The 11,854-nt window shown below is 35.1% G+C and overlaps 1 annotated feature.

Annotated features, from left to right (window-relative positions):
* Nucleotides 10,888–11,387: an enhancer, noted in NCBI's record as "H3K27ac hESC enhancer chr9:12463247-12463746 (GRCh37/hg19 assembly coordinates)". NCBI's record gives its function as "activates a minimal SCP1, AML or CMV promoter by ChIP-STARR-seq in primed H9 embryonic stem cells {active_cell/tissue: H9 hESC(primed)}" and the evidence as "EXISTENCE:reporter gene assay evidence [ECO:0000049][PMID:30033119]".

Here is an 11,854-nt window from a genome sequence, read left to right as displayed (position 1 = left end):
TTCTTTTCTATCGCATCGTCAGGCTGCAAATTTTCTGAACTTTTATGCTCTGCTTTCCTTATAAAACTGAATGCCTTTAACAGCACCCATGGCACCTCTTGAATATGTTGTTAATTAAAAATTTCCTTCTCCACATACCCTAAATCATCTCTCTCAAGTTCAAAGTTCCACAAATCTCTAGGGCAGGGGCAAAATGCCACCAGTCTCTTTGCTAAAACATAACAAGAGTCACCTTTGCTCCAGTTCCCAACAAGTTCCTCATCTCCATCTGAAACCACCTCAGCCTTGACCTTATTGTTCATATCGCTATCAGCATTTTTGTCAAAGCCATTCAACAAGTCTCTAGGAAGTTCCAAACTTTCCCACATTTTCCTATCTTCTTTGAGCCCTCCAAACTGTTTCAACCTCTGCGTGTTACCCGGTTTCAAAGTCACTTTCACATTTTCGGGTGTCTTTTCAGCAACACCCTACCCATGTACCAATTTACTGTATTAGTATGTTTTCATGCTGTTGATAAAGACATACCCGAGACTGGGCAATTTACAAAAGACAGAGGTTTAATTTGACTTACATTTCCACATGCCTGGAGAGGCCTCACAATCATGGTGGAAGGCAAGCAGGCACAAGTCACATCTTATATGAATGGCGGCAAGCAAAAAAAAAAAAAAAGAGCTCGTGCAGAGAAACTCCTGTTTTTTAAAACCATCAAATCTTGTGAGAGCCATTCACTATCACAAGAACCCCATGGGAAAGACCCACTCCCATGATTCAATCATCTCCCACCTGGTCCCTCCCACAACACGTGGGAATTATGGGAGGTACAAGATGAGATTTGGGTGGGGACACAGAGCCAAACCATATCAACAACTTTGTAACTCAAATCAGATATTGTTTTTTTTTTTTAATTGCTCTGTCTGAAAAATAATGTAACTAATTTTGGGGCAAAATTTTTACATAGAATCTTATGGTAGCATATTAAGTTCTGATTCTAGCCCTGCTGTAATTTTATTTCTGTATCTTAACTTTGTATTGCCAAATTTCTTCAGTTTTAAAATGGCATCTGCTTTTATCATTTGAATTCTATATATGTCTACAAGTAGTTAACTAATTAATTCATTTTGGAAAAAGATAGCGTAAATAACGAAATCTGGAAAGCAATGATATTGATTTCACACAACAGCTTTACTGCCCTGTTAGGTAGGTGTTTTAAAGCTGTAAACTCTGAGATAGACAGATTCAAAATGATTTGATCAAGACCACACAGCTTTTTATTGCACAATTGGACTACAATTGTTAAAGCCCATTCATTCAACCGATATTATTGATTAAAAACATCAATTCCTTTTCTACTATTTGATCCTGTTTTTTGTTAACAAAAGCAAGTTGGTAACGTTGGTGTCACTCAGGTCTTTGTACAAAATGTACAGTAATGTGAGCACAGTGGATGGTTAGATTCCAATGTCTAATATTAGCTTTGGTGACAGTAACAGATCATACCTATGTCATAGGTATGATCCATAAGCTTAAGTGCAGATCACTGATCTCAGAGATATAATGGTGAAAATTATGTCTGACACACTGCAATGTAGAAGTACACTCTCCAGTATGGTAACCGTTAGCCACATGTGATTATTGAGCACTTGAAGTATGGCTAGTCCTAACTGAGATGTGCTGTGTTTTATAATATACAAACCAGATTTTGAAGACATAGTAAGGAAAAAGAGTGCAAATATATAGCTAACAATATCTACATTGATCCAAAATTGAAATGATAATATTTTAGATATATGGGGCTAAATCAAATATATTATTAAAATTATTTTTGCATTTATGTTTGCCTTTTAAAGTGTAGTCATCGGAATATTTAAAATGACATACATGGCTCACATATTTGAAAGCACTGACCTGGAACACACACACACAAATTTAACTTTCGTTTCCTAATTCTCTCTCGTATTTGACTATTGTACAAAAGAGATCACAGAATAGTGTAGCTACAATCTGAAAATACAGCCATTTTGAAATAGCATTTTTGCTCGTGAAAAATCCTTAGAAGTGGAATAGGGTAAAAGAGTTTGCATTTTTGACATATTGATATAGCTAATCCCAAATCATCTTACAAACTGCTATACCAATATATGCTCTTAACAACAGTCAACAAGAATATATATTTCACATCACTGCCTAATATTGGATATTTTCAATAATTATTTTTCCCATGCTCAAAAACATTTTTTTCTGTCTAAATTTGTATTTCTATGATTAGTATTAGTCATTACTTTTAGTAATAGTACTTCCATGATTCATTTCTATTAGGTTCTTTTAATTTTTTTAAATTATTGAGTAGTTGGACCTTTTAATATAGTTTATATATTTATCCATTAAATATTATAGCATTCATAAATAGTTCCACCAATCATAACACAATTCTTTACTGTTTAATATATCAGAAGTCTTATAACTCACAGCTTTGGCAGGGAAGATTTTCATTTATTTCTATGGTCACATTTGTGGGTCTTTTTTTCTCTATGGCTTCTTGGATATATATGGCTTGGGAAATACTGTCCTTCTAATAAAATTACAATATAATTATTTTATATTTCCTCCTAACTTTGTTTTTTAATTGATATATAGGTTTCAAACCATGCAGAATTTATTTCTGTGCACGTTGCAAAGTGAACCTCTAACTTAATTTTACAATTCTTACATCTATACAGATCACAAATTATTTTTGTGTTATAAATTGAAAAACCTATTCTATTTTTATTTTAAATGTGACTTTATTATATACTAAACTCTCATATACTCTTTTAAATTTAAACTCTTTTTAATTTTCTTGACTTTAAATTATATCTCTGGTAGAATATATCTACCCTCACTGTTCTTCGCTTTAAAAATTATGCTTTTTTTTTGGACGTCGAGATGGGCGGATCACGAGCTCAAGAGATGGAGAGCATCTTGGCCTACATGGTGAAACCCCATCACTACTAAAAATACAAAAATTAGCCGGGTGTGGTGGCGCGTGCCTGTAGTCTCAGCTACTCAGGAGGCTGAGGCAGGAGAATCGCTTGAACCCAGGAGGCAGAGGTTGCAGCGAGCCAAAAAAGCGCCAATGCGCTCCAGCCTGGCGACAGAGTGAGACTCCATCTAAAAAAAAAATTACATTATACTTTTTTCCCCTAATTTGTTCCTTCTAGAACCTTGGAATCTGAAGGCCAAGATGCACAAATCATCTTACAAGTTTTTTATTTTCATTACCTTTGTGAGAATCATCATTTAAAAATATTGAGTCTTCTAATCTAGAATGTTATATATCTCTACTTTTCTCAACTGGATATCTCCTTATTAAATATCCTTATTTGTTTTAGTTAATTCTTATATTATTTTAAGGCTTCAATTGCAATTGTAATGTTCCATTCTTTTTAAATGGGTTATACTGTTGTATAGAAAGATATTTATTTTGTATGTTAATCTGGTATTTATCTTCTCTGGTATGTGTATTTTTCTTTTTCTTCATATATCATTGCATTAGCTAGAATATTTAGCATAATGCTATAAAGTTGCAACATATGTGATCATCTTTGAGTCATTCTTAACATAATGTTTACACTATTAAGAATTATTCTTTTGGATTTCTAGTAATCTTTTAATTTCTAGTAGTATGAAATAAAGAAAATTTATTCTTACATGGAGACTAGGAAACTTTAGTTAATTTCACTGGTTAGAAAGAATATAATAACTTTAAATTTTTCATTTTTATTTTTAAAATTTTATTTGTTTTTATTGATTGATTTTGATTGATTTTTATTAATTTATATTTTGAGACAGGATCTCACTTATTGCCCCGGCTGAGTGCAGTGGTACAATCATGGCTCATTACAGCCTTGATCTCCTGGGCTCAAGCAATCCTCCCACTTTAGTCTCCCAAGTAGCTGGAACTACAGGCATGCACCACCACACCTGGCTATTTTTAATTTTTTGTAAAGACAGAGTCTTGCTATGTTGCCCAGACTGGACTTGAATTCCTGGACTCAAGCAATCCTCCTGTCTCAGCCTCCCAAACTGCTGGGGTTATAGGCATGAACCACTGGGCCCTGTCTAATTTATTTATTTTCAGTGAATATGCCAAGACCCATACATCTTCTATCATCACGCTAAAACCCTTCCTTAAAGATTTGTCCCACGTCCTATGTACCGAAGAAAGCTTTTGAGTGCTCCCAGGGTAAGGACCAATGCTATTTCACTTTTTCCACTTTGTACGTAGTTCTTATATGTAACTTATTTATGTATTTTTCTTGTCCCTCTTTTGTTAGAGAAAATTTTAGTAGATTCCACTTATAAAAAGAAAATCTTCCTTATTTTTGAGTTATGAATATTTAACTTTTCTTCAAACATGTTTTTTGTTAATTATATCATTAAAAAACTATTTAAAGAGCATATGTGACTCTTTTTCATAGAACTATGAAAAGTTCCTAATGTAGAAATGTATCATTGTAATTGATTTTAGAAATCATTGAATTAGTCTCATGCAGAGCATCTTTTAATATCTTTGCATTATCAATAATCACCTTTTATCACAATATAAGGAACAGTATATTACCAATTCATTTAAAGTGATTTTATATATTTTATTTAAAAATTTCAAACACAAACATAATAAAACAGTTAAATACATATTTCTGTCACTTAGTTGTCACTAATGGAACATTTTATGTCACCGCTTGTCATATATATTGAACATGTATTTGTCTTAATCCATCATTCAAACATTCACCATTTTCTTAACTAATTTCAGAAATCAGTATCTCTTTTCTTTGCCTCCCTTGTCAAGACCCTCTAATCTGTTCCTATATTGTAGTCACATTGATCCATCAGTCTCTGGCTTAAAACATTCCATGCCTCCCAATTGTTTTAAATATAAAATGTCCTTCCTGACTTACCCTGGCTTCTGTCTCTTGTTTTATCACTTGCCACTCTTAACACACCTACTGACCAGTTGTCTTAAGTAGCTACTACTTGCTCACAGCTGAAGCTTTCCACATGCTGTTTGTTCTGTCTGCGGTGCTTTAACATCCCCATTCTTTTTATCGGCATAATTTTTACTTGACCTTCAACATTTTTCAGGTATTTCCTTTTGGAGGATTATTTGTTAATGTAATATCCCCACCCCCCAACCCCTACCCTAAAAGGCTACATTAATTGTCCCTTTGATGCTTTTACAAAACCTTACATTAAACTTTATGTAAATCCTAATTACTGTGCAGTATAATTTCATATTCCTTATATTTCTCTCCCATGAGACTGAGATCAGAATTGTGTATGTTTCTCTTTGTAAACACAATGACTGGGCAGTTTCTGGCACACAGCAGATGCTTGGGGAATGTTGAGTGCACAGTATGCTTATTTCCCTGTTCTAAGCAACTTTCTTTGCCTTCAACTGATTACCTGTTACTCCCTTAAAACATTGATAGCCATCACCACACACCATCACACTAAAGTATATGTTATCCTTGTGTGTGTATCTCTAGAGTTACACGCTTCTTAAAGAAAATATCTGATGTCTGTTTCTCCTGTCTCTTTGGTGATATGTAACCCAGATGTAACTCATGGTCCATACTCATAAGGTGAGCCATATTTGAAACAAAAAAGTCACAACCCAAACAAACCAAAATTTAAATTATCAGAATTAGCAGCACAAAGAAAATGTCCTCTCCTAATTTGTACTGTGGCAGTCTGAACACCCCCCGAAAATCATGCCAGAGTTTAGAAAAACAAATATACAATAAAAGTAAACACACACATACACACAAAACAGCAAATTTCTGGTAACTATTTTGGATTGCAAACAGGATAAATTTAATGTTCAAATAATCTGACAAAACAACCATTTGGAAACTGAAAAAAACATATATTTTCTATCATTATCTGTAACATTTAGGAGTACTATCTCCTAAGCTAACATTTTGACTTGGTGGTAGCTTGGCATTCTTCTTTGTGTTTTTTGTTTGTTTGTTTGTTTTTGTTTTTGTTTTTGAGATGGTGTCTCATTCTGTCACCCAGGCTGGAGCACAGTGGCACAATCCCTGCTCACTGCAACCTCTGCCTCCCGGGTTCAAGTAATTCTCCTGCCTCAACCTCCTGAGTAGCTGGGATTACAGGAGCCCGCCACCACATCCAGATAATTTTTGTATTTTTAGTAGACACGGGGTCTCACCATATTGGCCAGGCTGGTCTTGAACTCCTGACCTCAAGTGATCCTCCTGCCTCAGCTTCCCAAAGTGCTGGGATTACAGGCGGGAGCTACCATGCCCGGCCTCTTCCTAGCGTTTTTTTTACTCTCTGACATTAATTCCAAAAGTGACTAATTTTAGATGCTTTTATAGGGGAAGCAATAGCACATGAATTAATGAGAACCTGGATGAAATTATTATATAGCATAAATAAAGCTTTAAATTATAAGAATAATAGTTATAATAATCCCTTGAGAAAGTTTTATTGTACATAATGAATAGTAAGATTTTTAAGGTGCTAACAAAGAATAGTAGATATTTTAGTTTACCAGTTAAAGTTGTATTGTCATATAGCAAGAATAACAACCAATAATTCACTAGTCGTAGTAAATATTTGTAATACTTCAAATTTTATGCATAAAATGAAAATATTAATGTTGTCATGTTCTGTAATTGAGGTTCACATGACACAAGTTAGATAAATGTGACCTACATTTATGTTACCTATGCTCTAAACATTTTACAAACATTAACTTTGTTAAATTGGCACTAGATCTATGAAGTAAATGACATTATGTCCGATGATGGATAAGGAAACTAAAGCTCACAGACTTTAAACAAGATGTACAAGGCAAAACAGTAACTGAGAGATCCAGAATTGAACCTACTTCTGTTCATTTTGCTATTCAACACTGAGTTTTTGAAGTCTGCATTCTTTATTTGTAACAATTTTACTTTTATTTTTCTATATCCTCTAACTCCAGAGGTTTTTTTCTCCCCCCTCCCCCCAACTTCTACATTCACAGTTGAACCATATTATTAGGAAAGGCGCCTTGATGAAAAGATCAGGATAGGAGCTCTGACCTTTCATCAGTGTTTTCCCTAGAGTAACAAAAACAAACAAACAAACAAAAACCTAAAAAGCATCTTTCCTCTTTTTGTTTTCTTCTGTTTTTTTTTTGTTTGTTTGTTTACATCTGTTGTGCTGCATCAGTAAAGCAAACTTCAGTTAGTTTTAGGAAATGAAACATCTATCCCCTGTTTTCTGGGAAAAAAAAGCTTCAATGACTTGAAGTTGAGAATGCGGATACCACTCACTCAAACACACTCATTCTCAGACTCTAAAAATCCCTCACCCTCCTTCTAGCCAGCAAGCATACAGTACCATGTGGCAAAGGTACAGCAAAGGTGGACTTGGACTTGAGACCGAGGCTTCATCTTTCTCCTCAGTAGCAAAGGCCAGGCTGCCTTTTACAACAAAGCACCACAGCTGAACCCAGTCCCTCCTCCTTTCCCAAACCAGTCATTCCACTCGGCACTGGCCGAAAGACAAAAAAAATACTTTTTAAGGCATAAAACATATACTTTTATGTTTGTGAAAATTAACCTATATTCAAGCAGAGATCTTGTAGAAAATGAAACAAAAATTGTGATGTGACTGTAACATTGATGTTTCCACTGCCTGCCTCCTAGCCATCTTCTGTATTATGGCACAGAATTCTTGATGTTTGGGAAGAAATGTAAAGAAAAAGTTTGTACATGAAATTTTTATTAAGCAGTAAATGCATGTTTCAAAGCCAAATTTACATTTTATGTTTTTACAAATGTATGTACTCTTAAGAAGACATTTCTTGTACTTTTATGTTTATTAGTACAAGAGAATTAACCTTGAATCATATGGGTTTTAATTTTATGCAAGCAACAAATGTTATCATTCCTGAGCAAATTCTTTAAACATAGTAGACATTTAGTGTAATGTATCTGACATAATTATTCTTAAATTACAGGGAAAAAATAGCTACCGAATAACTGATCTTGCTCGAAGTCAAAACTTAAGTTCCTTATGAACAATTTTTGAACCTCATGATTTAGTACGAATAGTGTCATCTCTCCTGAGCCTTTCTGAATGCCTGTATCATATTAAAGCCCTCTCCTACTCCTTGCTGTGCCAAGCCAGCTATAGCCCTAGGGTGAGAGCAAGTTGCCAGGTGCTAAGACATCACAGTCCCAGAAGCCAGTCATCTCCTCTGCCACATCCAACAGTTCTCTCTTGGGACACAAGAAAGACATGCTTGGCCAGCACCCCTAGTGCCTCTTGGTCCAGTTCTTTTCTGGTAGGGATAATTACTTGGGGCTGCAAGTGAAAGGCACATAAAATTTCTCAACATTGCTTGAAAATTAAGTGCCAACCTCTAGCTGTAATCTTGTGAAATCATTTTATTTTGCAGCAATAATTTCAAAAGTTATCTGTGACCAGATGTTAAAAGGTACACCATTCTGAAGACTCAATTTTTACACTATTGAAGTGGTTTTTGTCTCTTAATAAAAGTCCAGAAGTTTTTTAGAACAAAAGAAACATTATCTTCTTCAGATTTCTTATTCTATAAGATAAAGGATATATAAATTATTTTTTCACTTTCTTTATGACTGTGTTTTTGCTGCATGTTACTTAGCTTCAGTAAGAAAGAAGCATGGTTAAAATTTTGTTGAATGCACTTATTCAAAGAAAGAAACACAATGTTATTTAGGACTCATTAATACAACTAAACCACATAGGGTAAGCCTAAAGATTTCTTGATATCAGAGGGCTGACTGTTGTTGAGTAGCAAGTACCTCATTTGTGAAATATTCTGCTGGTCCTTGAAACTGTCAGAAACCTCTGTAGCTCGAATGATACCAAGAATGTTAAGAGAACAGGATGAGTTATTACATTTAATATATAGGTATAGTAAAAATCAGTCGCAGAACAGGATGGAGGACAGTGTATTTTTCAAGTTCTATTGATAGATATGTGCATAAATTTCCAAGACACTTAAGTACCACTACTTAGGTTTCTTTTTTTTAATATATTGCTAATTTTATCTTAGTGCATTAACATTATAAGCCTCTAAGTTTCTTCCTTAAAAATATGCTACCCATCTGCTTCTCCAATATTTTTACACAGGCATTGCTTCTGAAAGTATAGAAACACTTTTCCTGTATCAAGGAAGGTTTGCTTAAGTAAATTAGAGTGGAGAACTGCAGCAATTATGTGAATTCTCTAGTTGAAACATGAATTATTTTTGCTGAAATGTTTGAACATATGTGTTAACAGCAAACCCACTGCTTCAACCAACTTCACTTCCTTAGGTTAGTTTACTCTAAAAACAAATAGTAAATAGTAACATCTGGGTATTAGACATAGAGTAAATCCCATTTCAAGAATTACTCTTTGTACCATAACCCTTTTGCACTACAAAGCCCACAAAAGGGGAGTTTGACTGCTAAAAACTGATAGCATTTTTATTATGGACACCAGATGGCGCTCGTACATCTTGAATTGGCTTTGATCTTTCTTGTTTTAAAATTGTCCCCCTTTCTCCTTTTCAGTAAGAATTTGCTTAAAAGATTAAAGTTCATGTATGTTTTCTCTTATGTAAAACTTAATTGAAAGCTTTCAAGTATTGAGTAAAACTCACAGCCCATTTTCACATTTTTTTTTAGCTTGATTGGACAATATTGTTGACGTCTATTGAATATTGCAGGAATGACTATTAAGAATATCTGTGTTAGTGACCTGAGGGAACAGTCCACACAGTCACTGTCTAATCATTTAGAAATTTAAATTAGTTTAGAAATTATTCTAATTTTTGAAGCCATTTTTGTCCGTATTCCATTCTTCTGTCTTCAATGCCTTGTCGGTGAAAAAAAAATAAAGAGAAAAGAAAAAAAGACACACTGGTAACTAGGAATTACATTTATCCATCATCCACAAGAGAGCCCTGTCTATGTGCAAATGAGTTTTACGTGAAGCCTCATGGGTGCCTGAAATTATTCCTCTTACAAACACTCTCTTGTTCTGCTTCATTCTCACATTTCCAGATCAGTGTCACTTTATTCTGCTTAAACCATCAAACAGATAATAGCATACAATTAGTCACCTTATTATAGGAGCAGCAGCCATTGCTGCTTTCTCTCTCTCCCTGTCTCTCCACTCCATCTCTTTAAATTGATAAGCAACTTTTTACCTTGATGAGGGATGGCATGTTATGAAAGATCTGTTCTATACTCAGTGGCTTTAACACAACCTTTTTTTGCTGGCCTTGAGCCTTTACAGTAGTCTCTTATTTTTCTGGGAATTATAGTTTATCTACCACCTCTGAGATTTCATTATGTTTAAATAGGAGCTTCCCCACCACTCCCAGCAAGCAAGAAACATCTACCTCTGCATTGTATATAATAGAAAACTGATGAAAATTAAACTTGAAAGAAACCTTTGCTTACTTTTTAAAATCCTTTATTCGTTATCTCTGCCTTTTAGTGGAAAGTTGTGGGGAAAATGCAAAATTATTAAATGCAATTTACAGAAAAGAGGCAATGATTACGTCCTTTACAATCTAGTTGACTGTGAGAGTGAAGAGGGTTTTTAAAACCCTATCATATTTCCCCCATGCTAACATGCAAATTGCTCCTCTCATGATAATGAGCACCTTATCTAGCTCAAGATATTTCATTTACAAGCTCACAGTTTTTTCCTGTTAATAGTTGGGAGGATTATTGACCAAAGGGTACTGATTGACTTTGTTATGCTACTAGCAGCACGTGGAATGCAATAATGGGCTTAGAGCTCCAGGCATCTGGAGAATTTTGATACTGTCTTTTCCAGAGGAATCTACTTTACCTTTTGGAAGTATTCCCACACAAGCTACAAAAACGTATTTTCTTTGGAACAGTATCTTGGCAGCTCTTTTCTGAATCATAGAAACTTTGAGCAGAATTAAGCTTAAAATTAAAAGAATAAAAACAACACTTGTTAAAAAATGTATCAAGATTAGGGAAATGTATCAGAGATGAGAGGGCTTTTGGATCATTTTTTCAACTGCCATAACATTAGGTTTCTACAGTGGTCAATCTCCCACCCACTTGAGGAACTGGAACTTCTCCAATTCAATAAGATTTTCTAGAGAGCAGAGGTTTTGTGAGTGATAAGGGATAATACAAGATTACCTAACACAATTCTTACTGGGAGGGAGAGAGGGAGAGAGGGAGGGAGAAAGGAAAGAAGGAAGGAAAGAAGGAAGGAAGAAGAGAGGGAGAGAGGGAGAGAGGGAGGGAGAAAGGAAAGAAGGAAGGAAGAAGAGAGGGAGAGAGGGAGAGAGGGAGGGAGAAAGGAAAGAAGGAAGGAAGAAGAGAGGGAGAGAGGGAAGAGGGAGGGAGGGAGAAAGGAAGGAAGGAGGGAGGGAGGAAAGGAGAGAAGGAGGGAGAGAGGGAAAGAAAGAAGGAAGGAGGGAGGGAGGGAAGGAAGGAAGGAGAGAGGGAGGGAAGGAAGGAAGGAGGGAGGGAGGAAGGAAAGAAGGAGGAAGGGAAAGAGGGAAAGGAAGGATGGAAGAAGGAGGGAAAGGAAGGATGGAAGAAGGAAAGGAAGGATGGAAGAAGGAAAGAAAGAAAAAAGAAAGAGAAAGAAAGAAAGAAGAGAGAGGAAAAAAAGAGAGAAAGAAAACTGCAGTAGTAGTGTCTGGTGACTTCAAAAACAAAAAAGTCACAACCCAAACAAACCAAAATTTAAATGATCAAAATTGGCAGCACAAAGAAAATGTCCTCTCCTAACTAGTATTGTGGCAGTCTGAACACCCCCCGAAAATCAT

The sequence above is a fragment of the Homo sapiens genome, chromosome 9 (genome assembly GCF_000001405.40).
Source record: "Homo sapiens chromosome 9, GRCh38.p14 Primary Assembly".
Lineage (NCBI taxonomy): Eukaryota > Metazoa > Chordata > Mammalia > Primates > Hominidae > Homo > Homo sapiens.
Note: the sequence above shows the minus strand (reverse complement) of the source record. Positions and strands in the feature narration are given on the sequence as shown.